Genomic DNA, 13,418 nt, shown 5'->3' on the forward strand with positions numbered 1-13,418 from the left:
CCAATCTCTTTGCTGTTCCAAATCGCACAGACATGAACATCTTTCCAGAAAGCACCTCTTTGTTCTTTAGATCAGTGGATTTCCAATCTTTTTTGTATCCCTGAAAACCTTTGGTTAAATGAAATCTTACAGAGAACACCCACACAGTCTATGTATAAACAGACAAAAAGGAACAACTTGGTGGGGTGGGTGGGGTGGGGAGGGGAGTCCAGTGTCCCCCATGAGCTCCTTTTAGTGGCCCTGGGGGAGGATCAGTGGAACGGCCTTGACAACTATTTGGACATCCTCCCCTTAGGGCAAATCTCCCCAAACTAGGGTCTCTGGGTAAGAGGATATGACTCTCTTTAGCACTCCCCAAACATTTTGCAAATTTTATCCCCAAAGGTTGCCTCACTTTTTCAGCCATCAGCAGTTTCTGTGGTTGGTCACCTACCCCCTTCTATCATGACTCTATTTCTGCTAATGTCATACATGCAGAATGTCCCTCCTTGTTGAAATCTATATTTCTTTAATAACCATTGAGGTTAAATATTTCCCATGCTTTTGTTTAGGAGCCTTTCATAAGATTGCTATTCATCTGCTACCATAATTTCCCAGCTTATTATTTGACTTTTGAGATTCTTTTCTTTGAAAAGTTTTAAGTTGCAAAATTAAATTTATTGATCTTTGATTTTTTTGCCACTTCAAAACTTAGAAAGTTATCCTTTCAAAGAGCTGACACATGTTCAATTCCATTTATCTTAATTTTCCCTCTTTTAAGTAGTTGACTACTTTATCTTGGCAGAGTGATGGATTCCTCCTACTTTGCTAGACACAAACTAGCTCATCCTCCCTCCCCTCACTCTTGTAAGGCACTGCCTCCATCCTAGAGTGAATTATTACATGAATCAGGGGCCTTCCACTATTTTCCAACAAGCCACAATATCAAACTTCTGCATCAGCACCACAGTTTTCATTTCTGTTACTCCCAAAATCATGTTTTAATAGGTAGAGTCAGAGCTTTCCCTCACTGCTCCTTGCTTTTAGTATGTTTCTTGACAATCTTACCCTGTACTATTTTCGATGAATTTCAAAATCAGTTTCTTCATTCCCTTTAGAAGTCAAATTGCACTTGCATTACCTCTCTTGGAGAGTGTGGAGAAGCCTGACATCTTTACAATGTCTAGTCTTCCCACTGAGGAATGAGTTATGGCCCTCTGCTCTTTCAAATCTCATCTTAAATCTCCCAATAAAGCCTTGCCCTCGCTTTAGGCAGTGTGAGCATGTCACTCACGAGGCAACCCAGCCTGCTCACAGGCCCCAGCTTCACCAACAGGCAAGAGGGCAGCAGGGTAGCTGTCAGGAGCAGAACCAGCCAGTGTGATGGCAGGAATGTGCCTGCCTTGAAGTGGCATCCAAGAGCCTGAGAGACAACCTGGCTTCCATAAGCCCCCAACAGGGGAGCTGGGGTGTCCACCCAGGAGGAGCACGTGGTTGGGGTGACAGCCAAGGAGACCCATGGCCGAGGGCAGTGTGTGGCCCCTGTGGAGGCTCAGAGTGGAAGGTGGAGGAAGGAGACCCCCAGCTCTGGGAGGAAGAGGCAGTTTAGGGAGCTCTCCTGGGTGAGGAGGAGGCGGAGGCCACGCTGCCTCAGGTAGAGATGGCTGCCCTCCCCCGTCTGGGAACAGCAGGCTTCAGGGTCAGCTCTACCTTCTCAAGAACACAACAGAAATACCCGATGTTTCTTTTCTTATGAATATCCAAACATGTGTCCATGCTGGAGTTCCTGCATATGACCAGGTCCTTGGTGGCATCTGCCAGAGAAGGTTCCGGGGTGGCCAAACAGCCGAGGGTAGCTGGCCACTGCAGAGCCACACCTCATGACTCCTGGTGCCTGCCTGAAGGGCTTCTGGGTGTGGAGTCCAGCTGCGGGTGGCAAATAATCACGTCCATCTCCCAGGATGGTGCTCTGGACCACCTTGGACCTCCTTAAGAGGGAATCTGACAACTCCACATTCTCGCTTCCCAACCTCAAAGGCCAGCAGAACAAATGGTAGGCCACCTACCCAGGTTGCATTCAGTAGGACGCGAGGCTGAATGAGATCCTGCCCCCTTTCTTTGAGGGGAGGTTATCACCTGTGCTCACCCGAGAACGTTCCAACGTAACTATGAGGGAAGGGAGGTTTCTGGGTAGCGGCCCTGAGCAGCAGCCTGGAGAGATTATGGCAGGAGCTCGTCACACGCCTTCCTGGCATGGCTTTCTTGGTGCATCAAGATACTAAATACACACAACAGGTTTCTGAGTGGCTCTCCCAGCAGGGAGACACATGCTGCATGCTTCTGGCAAATAGGTGATGAGCAGTAAGCCACTGTGCTTACTTGTTGCAGGTGGAGAATATAATTCAGGTCCCACTAGGCTCTGCCACCGTAGCATCAGCCCCGTGCTGTTTTCTTCCTCCAAGTGGAGGGTTTTTCCCCACTGGGCACCACGCTAGGCACTGTAGCTAGCCCATCTCCTATTACTACTGCTTTAGATACAAGAAGACACAGTTCAGAAAGGCCACGTTCTTGCCCCAGGTCCCAGGGCCAATCAACATCGAGCTGCAGCCTTGCCCAGGTCTGCTTGGTCCTAAAGTGGCCCATGCTTCCCACCTGGTCCACATTGCCTCTGTCGCTTTAAGAGGCAAGCCCCGGGCCAGCAGAGGAGAGCTCAGTGGAGCTCTCTCAATGCGGGCCCCAGGGCACTCAGGCAATAACCCAGTTACATCCAAGCAACAGGAAAGGGGCGTCTGCCATGCTGTGTCTTCCCTTTCATTTCTCTGACCACTAACTGCTGATTTTATTGCTCCTTCCCATGTTATGATGGGGAAATTGCTCCTCTCCAAGGCACAGCTTCCCTCTGGCTCAGATCTGTGTCTTAGAGGCATCCTGTATATCTGCTCATGGACTGGAGGGCTCCTTGCCTCAGGACAGCTGTGATCTTGAGGCTTGGGAAGGCTGCCACAGCCAACCGACTGGGCCATTCTGTCCGCCAGAAAGTGGATGGGTGAGATGTGGAGACCAGGAGGACCAGGGCCTTGGCCCAGTGGGATGCAGAGGGCTCTGGTCTCGGCACCCTGCTGGAGTGGGGAGAACCCACCAGTCCCTTCCTGCTGGGATTTTTGTTTAGAAAGTGGCAGGCCACTAAATCTGGCCAACTGTGGGGGCTGCAGGGTATGGGACAGGGGCATGTCTAACTGCCCTCAAAAGTCCTGCAGAGAACCAACCCCGAGGGGCTAATCTGAGCCAGCACCCTCCGTGTTGGCCACTAAGAGCCTCTGCAGTGCTCTGGTGTTCTAGGGTTCTTGCTGGCTTGGAAATTTCCAGCCCATATACCTGGACTTGTAGTCCTAACGTAGGAACTGCCATTTTCAGATGACCTTGAAGCTTCCTGAGCAATCTGTTCAGTGGAATTAATTCCTAAAGCTGGAGCTGCTTAGGGAGACATCGCAGACTTGCCAGGGGCTGCCAGCTCAGGCTTGGCACAGGAATGAAAAATAGGCCTCTCCCCAGTGAGCCAGGAGCAGCTCAGAAATCAGCCCATGACGGGATCAACCAGAACAAGCTCCAGCTGCAGTCAGAGCCACTGCCTGGAGCCAGCACAGCTAGAGGACTGGCCAGAGGTGGGCAGGGACCTGGCTGTGTCTGGCTGTCAGGAGTGACACACCACCCAAGCCCCACAGTGCTGGCCAGGGACCTTCCTTCCTTTCCCTTCCCTTCCCTTCCCTGGGCTCCATGTGCTCTTCTGCACTGCAGCCCTCATGTCCTTTCCAATTCTAGGGGCCCGGCTTGCTCTCTCCTCCGGAGATCAAAGGCCTAACTCCTGAGGTTGGCATGGAGCTGTTGTCAGCACCAGCTGCGTCCAACCTTCCCTGGGTTCAGCCAGGCTTGTCTGTCAGCCAACGTGTTTCTGCAGGACGCAGCCCCAGCCCCCTCCTGCCTCCCAGCTGCTGTCGGTCAGCTTGGGGCCTTCCTGCTAGAGCCCTTGTCCATCTGCCTGAGGCCATAATGCACCCCATCCCTGCAGAGCCAAGCAGCCACACTGCCCCCAACCAGCAGCGCTGCCCAGCAGCACGCAGCTCCTGCTCCCAGCCATCAGCCTGCAGGAGGCAGATTCCAATGATGACATATTACCATATATTACCATATAACCTGCCACTCCCTGCCCCCATATCAAACCCAACAAAACCCACCGAGTGATTGCTTGGTGCTGGATAGAGTGGGTAAGCGCAGGCCTGCTCTCAAAGAGCTCGGGGTCCAGTGCAAATCACCAACAGCGCTAAGCATTAAGGTCTCATTCCATCCTCTCTCACCTCCAGGAGCCAGCGCTGCTGGGGCTTGAGTTTCACAGACCAGATGACCCGCCTACAGGTAGCTAGCGGCAGAGCTGAGGCCTGCAGCTGTGCTGCGTGTGCCCTTGATACTGGGCCCTCTCCCCTCCCCTGTGTGTGGAGAGGATGCGCACACAGACTTCCACCTTCCCCAGCACTGGTGTTCCTGCAGCCACTATGGGTTGGGAGCCGGCTGGGGCTGAGCTTCAGAGAGCTGGGAAATCACTGAGGAAGTAACTTATTAGTCCCTTTCTTCAGACATAGATGAAGGCTGCCTCCCAAGCTGGTAATTATCATAATCAGGTGTTTTGTACAAATAGGATCTTGATGATGCACCAAATTGGCAATAAGAGATTAAATTAAACCTGTTATTTCAAATGAGATAAAATGGACTTGGCCAGTTTCAGAGCAATTAGCATCTTCCTCGCTTTTGCCTTTAATTGCTGCCCAGGGGCTAAACACCTTGCCAGACCTCAAGGGCGCCTGTGCCAGAGCCCCGGAAGGCTCCTGTGTGCAAGGTTTCCTGCTGCAGCCTTGGTGTAGGAGGCCCTCAGCAGGGCCGGCCTGCACTATCCTCTGAGGCAGAAGCCTGCAGGACAGAAGCCACTTTGGAGGCTGGACACTGTGGCTCACGCCTGTAATCCCAGCAGTTTTGGAGGCTGAGGCAGATGGATCGCTTGAGCCTGGGAGTTCGAGACCGACCTGGGCAACATGGTGAAACTCCGTCGCCACTAAAAAAATACAAAAGTTAGCTGGGTGTGCTGGCGCACATTGTGATCCCAGCTACTTGGGAGGCTGAGGTGGGAGGATTGCTTGAGCCTGGGAGGCGGAGGTTGCAGTGAACTATCATTGTGCCACTGCACTCCATCCTGGGTGACAGAGATAAAAAAAAAAAGCTCTTTTGGGAGATTTTGGACATCCCCATGGCACTCTGCACAAAAGCCAAGTTAGCCCTTTGCTGGGTTCAAGAGCACATCACAGACCACTGCTTGTCCCTCTAACGGTACAGATACAGGGAGATAACGTCCCTGAAAGCATCCTTCCCAAGGAGAAGCCATTGCTGAAAAGAAGTCCTGTGGCCCAGCTCTGGGTGGGGGTCAGTTGGTCTACCTGGTTATTGCTTTTCCCCAGGCATAATGTTTTGGAAATCAAGCATTCAGCAGCAGGGATGGAGGTGAACCACTCCAAGTGCTCTCTACGCCAGGGCATGGCTGATGGGCAGGCTCCCCTGCCGGTAGTGCTCTCAGCTTCTCTGAGCAGCAGTGCAGTGTTAGTGCAGAGAGCAGTGAGCTGTCCCTCACCACATCACAGCCGGCCTGGATTCTGCAGAGCCTGCTGGGCCACTCCAGGGCCACTGATGGGTAGGAAGTCTAGTGTCAGGGATGGTACTGGAGCACTTAAAGATCTTTCTGTTCTGCTCCTGGGTCAGAAACTCCACCATTACCCTTTGCAGGGGGTAGAGGTGGGCATGGGTGGCTTAAGGCAGTGTTGTCAGGTGGCCTCTCCAAAAACACAAGTAAACCTGGGAGGACAAATTCATGGATCACCAGGCTCTATTAAGTGTGCATGTGCAAGCCATTATGATCAATGTAGTGTATGTTTTGCTGACTGCAAAGTGCTTTTGACACCATCTTGTGTGACAGGTGCCACATTAATTGAGGTGGCTTATCTCTAGCTCTGTTCCCCCACTAGGCTTTGCTGTGAGTGCCTGGAGGGCAGGGACTGGGTGAACCCCGGTCATCTCTGCACCTCCAGGCCTGACACTGGGCAGGTGGCCAGTAACTTGGGGCAGAATGAATAAATGAGCAGACCCAGAAACTTGATGAGAGCAGCATACTGTTTAAAGCTACCACAGACTGAGCGTGGGTCTGTCTGCCTGGTCCAGGGCCTGTGCTCTGACCCACCACAGCTTGCCATGGAGAGGGTGAAAGATTTTCTCAGCATCGGCTGGGTGCAGTGGCTCATGCCTGTAATCCTAGCACTTTGGGAGGCCGAGGTGGGTGGATCACAAGGTCAGGAGATCGAGACCATCCTGGCTAACACGGTGAAACCCTGTCTCTACTAAAAAATACAAAAAATTAGCTGGGCGTGGTGGCGGGCGCCTGTAGTCCCAGCTACTTGGCAGGCTGAGGCAGGAGAATGGTGTGAACCCAGGAGGTGGAGCTTGCAGTGAGCAGAAATCACACCACCGCACTACAGCCTGGGCAACAGAGCAAGACTCCGTCTCAAAAAAAAAAAAAAAAAGATTTTCTTAGCATCTGCAAGTCAGCCACCGCTCATTGCAGCTGGTGGAGGTCAAACCTCACTGGTGGAGTGGGACCCCTTCTCCTCCAGAGGGAGTGAGGCCCAAAGGCAAGGGTGGTGGGGGCTGAGGACCAGGATCAGTGGCTTTTCCCACGGCTCAGCGCCCACCTGAGCTGCTGGGGCCACCTGAGTCAAACGGGCACCACCACGACTTTTGAACAAAGTCATACAGCCTCCTCGTGGTGGGGTGTCAGGGACTGTGGTGGCAGCTTCTGGGGTGGAAAGCCCATCATCCCACCTTTGTCTCCCTTTGGGAAGATGACAGTGCTGCTGAGCTGGCTGTGGCCAGAGCTGCAGTTGTGCTGGCCACAGATGGCACACTGGGGGCTCAGGGTGTAGGTGAGGGGCCTGAAAGGTGCTACAGGCCCTGGCTGCTGCTGGTGGCTTCTGCATGGAGGGACCTGGCTGGCCACAGGGGAGGGGCACGTTGCTCTCTGGGACAGTGGAGTGTGGAGGTTGGGGGTGTGAGTCCTAGGCTCACCCCAGCAGACTGGGCTTGAATCCTAGCTCCACCGTTTACTTGGACAACATACTCTGAGTGTCAGATGCTTTATCTGCATAAGGGGGAGAAATACTAACCAAACGGGGGAGTTAGTTGGACTAACTCGTTTAGTAAGGACTAAATGAGGTCAGAGTTTGCAAGGCACTTAGCAGATCGCCCAGCATATTTGTACGCCTTCAGTGGGTGGCAGCTCTCAGCAATATTAGGATTATGGCTGTTCTCATTACCATTGTTAAACTAGAGATCATAAGACTGATGGAACAGACTCGCTGTGCAATAAGATACCAAATCATAAACCAGAACTAAGACCACGACAGGCAAGGGTTAAGTCACATATCCCTGAAAGAATACACCGCCTTCTAACTGCCACAAGGTTTTTCTTTTCTCTAGCAGCTAAACAAGCACTGGCCTCGAGATAAGCAATATTGAAACAATTGCAGCTCACCTACCCCAGACCCTAACTGAGCTCCCATTCCACAGGTTGCAACTGCAGCTTTGACGGGACAAGAGACCACCAACCACAGGCTGGTTCTGACTGGTTTAGTAAGAGGCTGAGCACTGTGTGTCTTCCTGCCCCTGCCTCATCTGTTGATGTATAGGACCGAACTGTAATGCACCTAAATGTTATGTCTCCACCCTAAAGTGAACATGGGATGCATGTAATTTGCGTATTTGCTTATCACACACATGCACACATCCCCCTTTTGTGAATATTCATAGCTCCTCCTATAACCTGTTGAATATGTATACTTGGCCAACCAGTTCCACATAAATCCCTGTTCCACCCTCCCCTCTCTCAAAGTGCTTGCTTTTGGTCTCTGCCTGAGGCTACATTTCCCAGCCAGTCAAGATGGCCACCCTGAAGGCTGCAATCCTTTGTAAGAAATGAAGTCTCTTCTGCAAATGTATGAACCTACTGATTCCTCAGTTGACACTATTAGTGACTCCGAGAGGAGGGGGGGCCCTTCCGTGATGCCAGTAGTTGGCTGACTCTTCACCTCCATCTCCCTCTTTAACAGCAAGGACCACCATGATTTGTCTTTGCATGTACGGCACCTGGAGTGGGCCTGGTACAGAAGAGGCTCTTGGGGAATGCTTGCTGGATAGATGGAGGGATGGAGGAGGGATGGTGTGGGATGCTGTGGGGTAGTAGGGAAGGAGAAGTCCCAAAGAAAGCTCTGGCCTCAGGTCACCCTTGTCTATGCTCCCAAGTCAGGCCAGCATACTCAGAGCCTCCTCTCCTTACAGAGCATTAGCATGATGGTCTCTGGGGGATGCGAGCACCCCCTGGGAGAAGATGCCCTGCTCCCAGCTGAGCCCAGTGGGCTGTATGGCTTCCCCTCAGGCTATTTGCTCGTACACCACAGATCTGACACTGCTCTCTAAGAAAATCCCAGAACCCACCCGCAGAGCCAACACTCTTACAGAGGAGAAAACAGAGGGCCAGAGAGGAGAACAGCCTTGCTGAAGGCCTTGACCCTGCTGGACACAGAGTGGGGCTAGACAGCAGGCTCCTGAAGGGCTGAGTCTGGAAAGCCTGGTGCAGGGCCTGGCCCAGGGCCAGCCTCCAAGTTTTAGACTCCGATTACAGTGTTCCAACTCTGCCCTTGACCCTAGCTGCTTTCTGCTTGTCCTGTCAGGGGCTATGTCCATGGTAGACCAGGCTTTCTGGAAGCCCACCAGGCCTCTAAGAGTGGGTTCCCTGACCTGAGGAAAATGAGGACCCCACAAGAGCTCCAGCCCCTTCCCATAAGCTGCAGCACAGTTGGTCTGGCCGTCTGCATTCGCTGAAATGTAGGCATGAAATGAGAAACACCAGCACATGTGAGTCACCACTTCTCGGGAATTTGAATTTTCCTTCTAGAGGATGCCATTGATCAGAGGGAAGCAGGGTGGCAGCGGTAGTGTTTTCAAAAATATTTTTCTTTTAAATCAAAATATAAATAGACTGCAAACCAGTACCACTCTGAGAAGCCCACAGGAGACTGGCTTTGAAAGGGTTTCCTTGGAGCAGCTCAGGAACACAGAGCTGAGGGCTGCCCTGCCTCCTTTCCTCCCGGGCGGCCCTTTCTTCTCTGGCAAGTGTCAGAGGCACTGTCAGTTTTGAGTACAAGCATTTTGTGGGTGCAGCTGAGGGGGCAGCCCTGAGCCCCACCCCGCTTTCCAACAATGCCTTGAAAAGGAACTGAAAACATGCGTGGGTGGGGTGGGGGCTGTGCCAGCTTTTCCACCTGGATTCTAGAAGCTCTGGGCGAGGCCTGGTCTCTATGGGGCTCTGTTTTGTGTTTCATTTCTGTTTGTTCTCAGTGCTTAGAAATGGCACCAGTTTGCCAGGGGGCCAAGTGTGTGTGTCTTGGCTAATGACACCAGCCAGAAGGCTGGCCTCCCCAGGCCAGAAGCTCCACAGGGGCCAGGTCCTGGTGTTCTGGCTGAGGGGAGGCATCCCCAGCCCCACAGCCCCACACCTCCTGCACACCTCTGCCCGTCAGAGCTCCACCGTGGGGTGGGACTCACACGCTGCCACTCACTCAGCCCCTCACCGGGCCAGTCAAGAGCAAGTTGAAGGACCTTCTGGGCACCAGGCAGGCCCACCTTCCTGTCAGCAGGTCACAAGTTCTGGGCAGGGGCAGGTGTGGGGCTGGTTTACTCATCTGGCCCATTTTACTCAGCACTGACCCAGTTTCCCCAAAGGCCAACCCTAGGTCTTCCTGACAGCCCGTGCCCATCTAAGCCTCATACACAGCAGGTGGCCGGAGCCTGCACAAGGCCCTCTCCCCAGTGACATGATGGCTGCTGCTGTCACCAGGTGGCCTCCAATCCTGCCCACCCCCAGGCTCTCAGGTGGGGATAGAACATTCGTGTGGCCACTTCACCTCCAGATCCACAAAGGCCGCTGACGTGCTGGTCCAGGAACCCACACAGAAGGGCAGTGCAGGAGGAGGGAAGGTACCTGCAGTGTGGCTCCTGGGGACATGCTGCCTTAAGAAGGGCGTCCTTCTGACAGAAGCCAGCTCAGATGAAGGAGGAGAGCTCCAGAAGATGTGAGCGGGAGCCTGGCCCCCAGGCCGGACACCTTTTCCCTTGGGCCTGGGGTCGAACACGGAAGGCAAATCTCCTCCAGTCCCCATGGCTGCCACCTCCCTGCTCAAATGTCAGAACCGAAACGGGGTGGCTGCTTCCTCACTCCCTTCAAGTTAGCCAAACAAACGCCCCCAGTTACCAGCAGCCAGTCCCAGTCAGACATAGGGGTGTGGAGCCCCAGAGAAAAGACTGAGGCCCAAAGAACCTCAGGAAGGGGAGTGATGCTTTTGTCTGGGGCAGGGACGGGGCCTGTGGTCTAGGCGCAGGCCAGATGCCCCCAGGGGGCTCTTCCTCAGGGAGTGTGCCGAGTATTCCAGGAGGGAGCAGGGGAGACCCCCAGCATGCCCTCTCAGAGCACTGGGGGGACCAAGGGCTGCAGCACAGCCAGAGGCAGCCCCAGGTGCAGCACCTCTGCTCACCCGGAACAGCTGATGGCGGCAGGGGCTGCGCTATCATGGGGCCCCTTTTCCAGGTCAGACATTTTATCTGGAGAAATGCACCTTCTGGGGTTTAGGCCTTTCCAGCATTGAACTCAACTCAGAAGGAAAAATACTCATTTTTTCAAAAAAACCTCTTATTTTTCTAAGCCAACTGCCAACCAGCTATGGAAGCAGAACTCCTCAGGGTTTGGGGGATGCCTGGGCCTCGGCTCTCCGATGCACAGCCCCTGCTGCTGTCCCTCATGGGCAGCACCCCCTCCAGGGACCAGGAGCTTGTGATTTCCCCGGGCAGCCCACACCATGAGAGGACAGTCTGAACTGTTGGTTAAATGTGGAGCCCTCATTGTCCTTTTCATCGAATCCCCACACTTTGAAGTTCTCTGAGTCTTCTGGAACCACGTGGAAAAGCCCCGTTCTCTTTCCACTTGATGGGCCTTCAGGATAGGAAGAAAGCTTCCAGAACAGCGCACGCTCCCTCTCTGGGGCCTTGGAGGCATGGCGGATTCAGACCTCCCGCCCACTCTCCCCACCTCCCTGAATTCTGCTGCTTAACATAGCTCCTCGAAGGAGACCTGGCTGTGGGTCCAGATGAAGGCTCCGTTAAGCCCCAGGAAAATATGAGCACGGCTTTGACTTTTGTCTTCTTTTTAAAGCGTCTGACTGGCAGAATCTCTTAAAGCTGCTTTCTTCCAGGATGATCTGGAATATTCTGGAGGAGCTTATTCTGCAATTAGCAGTGCAGAGTAATGGGCTGTCAGGCAGTAAACGCCAGCACCTAGGGTGCTGGCAGCCTGGCCAGAAGCCAAAGGGCTTGATCAGCCTTGCGTGAATCTCACAGACTTGGCCCCCCATTTCCCCTTGGCCTAATTTCTTTGAAACTGGGTGCTTCAGCATTGGTGCTGACATATCCACAGACTGTGGTGGCTTTTAGAGAACCGTTGCTGGCAATCGGTGGGACATCCGGAGACGGACCGCAGCCCATCTGCCAGCAGCTTCTGAGCCCCAAAGCCCCACAGTCCCCCACCCACTCTGCGGCAGGTGTCCAGAGGGTGGTCGGGGTTGCAGTGAGCAGGGCATTAGAGCATTCCCCAAAGGACCAGCCATCCTATTTGACAGGAGGGCAAACAGAAGCCCGGAGAGGGTAAGTGTCCTGCCAAGAGCACGGACGTGAGTAAGGAACAGCATCCGGGTGTTCGGGTTCCGGGGGTGGGGCTTTGTTCACTCTGCTCCAACCAAAGCCATTTCTAGTTCTTTCCTCCCCTCTACAAACACTCGTTGAGCGCCTGTGGGTGTTCTGGCACCAATGTCCTGGTGCTGTGCCAGGTGCGGGGAACTCAGTGGCACAGGCTGTCACTCGAGCCACGCTCTTGCCCTCGCTCAAGGCTCGGGACTGGAGGGGCTGGTTTGCTGTGGGTCCTGCCCCAGAGCCTCAGTCATTCATGTGTGTAGTCCCAGCATCTGCCACAGAGCAAGGCTTATTGGCAGGAGGATGAGGGAGGACATTTCAAAAGAGACAATATGATGCTCTCCCCACTTTGAACAAAGAAGAAGGCGGAAGCTCAGGGTCAGGGTGCTGGTTCATGGCCACACAGCTGAAGAGAAGGAGCTGAAACTTCAAATAGGATCTGATGTTTCTGCTCCAAAAGCTTCCTGTGAACAGAGGTCTCATTCTTCCTGGAGTGGATCGACTCTTAGTGATCACATCTGAATGATGTGGCGCAGGCTCCTAGCTCTCGGCAGCCCTGCCTGGGAGGTTGTAGTGGTGACAGGGTACCTCACTCCAGGTCAGGAGAAGGAGGGCAAGTACCTGGTTCAGTTACCAAGCCAGGTAGACGTCAGGTGTCAGAACCTAGGTTTTGTGAAGACCCGCTTAGGTCTCTTTGCTCCATGGCAGACTACTGAGATCTCTAGAGAGGGTAGCAGGCATTTAGGGACCAGGAAACACATTCCAACAGTCCTTCCCTGATGGTCAGCTGACCCTGGACCCCACGGCTCAGCACTCCCTACACCAACCTGGGGGAGAAGCTCCGAGGACATGAGAGTGACGCAGCCGACTTCCCTGCTGTTCTCTGTCAGTCTGCCTGGCACTGCAGGCCCTTCCTCTACCTGGCGGCTGCCAGATTCCGGGTGAGCCAGACCACGGGCTCTTGGGACCCAGGTGACATAAGAGGACCTAGGGAAGGGGGGGGTGTTTGATGGGGATGTCTCCCTCTGGGTGACCTGAAGAATGGCTGCCCTATCGCGTGCACGCTGAGGGGTGCAGGAGGGTAATCTAAAAAGCAGACCCTTCACAGTCTGGATTCTGCTGGGAGGACAGGATGGCATGGGGACAGCACGGCTCCCTTCCCTGCAACCTGCACCAGCGCCATTCTGCCGACTGTGTCTCCAGCCCAGCCGCCTAACCCAGAGTCCTTTTCCTTGCCCTTGGGATTAATGGTGTGGTGATTTTGCGAGTCAGGAAAGAGAGGGAGAAATGGCTGTGAGAACAGAAGGATGACTTGACCTCAACATCAGTCATCTCTCAGCTCCTCTCTGACTTCAGCTCTGGAGAGACCAAGGGAGGCATCTGCCTTCTCCTTGGAAAAGAGCACGAAGGCAAGCTGAGAGCTGCCTCTGCCTAGCCCTGGGAGTGGAATAACTTGGTCACACTTGTGTCCATGCACCTGGGTGCTGCTGCTGGTAGGGTCACCGGGGACCCGTCAGGGGAGGGTGATGGGGAATCCCGGTGCCCCGGGGTCCACA

The 13,418-nt window shown here is 53.8% G+C and overlaps 1 protein-coding gene across 3 annotated transcripts in view, besides 2 other annotated features; it reads right to left on the bottom strand.

Moving 5' to 3' along the window:
- TTC7B (tetratricopeptide repeat domain 7B) overlaps window positions 1–13,418 on the bottom strand; it is a 291,867-nt gene that overhangs the window by 17,988 nt on the left and 260,461 nt on the right. The gene's annotated exons all lie outside the window — the stretch shown is intronic.
- Window positions 3,486–4,027: an enhancer, noted in NCBI's record as "H3K4me1 hESC enhancer chr14:91012381-91012922 (GRCh37/hg19 assembly coordinates)". NCBI's record gives its function as "activates a minimal SCP1, AML or CMV promoter by ChIP-STARR-seq in naive and primed H9 embryonic stem cells {active_cell/tissue: H9 hESC(naive and primed)}" and the evidence as "EXISTENCE:reporter gene assay evidence [ECO:0000049][PMID:30033119]".
- Window positions 11,653–11,815: a silencer, noted in NCBI's record as "fragment chr14:91020548-91020710 (GRCh37/hg19 assembly coordinates)". NCBI's record gives its function as "represses an EF-1alpha promoter that drives an FKBP-Casp9 reporter gene in an ReSE screen in K562 erythroleukemia cells {active_cell/tissue: K562}" and the evidence as "EXISTENCE:reporter gene assay evidence [ECO:0000049][PMID:32094911]".

The sequence above is a fragment of the Homo sapiens genome, chromosome 14 (assembly GCF_000001405.40).
Source record: "Homo sapiens chromosome 14, GRCh38.p14 Primary Assembly".
Taxonomy (NCBI): Eukaryota; Metazoa; Chordata; class Mammalia; order Primates; family Hominidae; genus Homo; species Homo sapiens.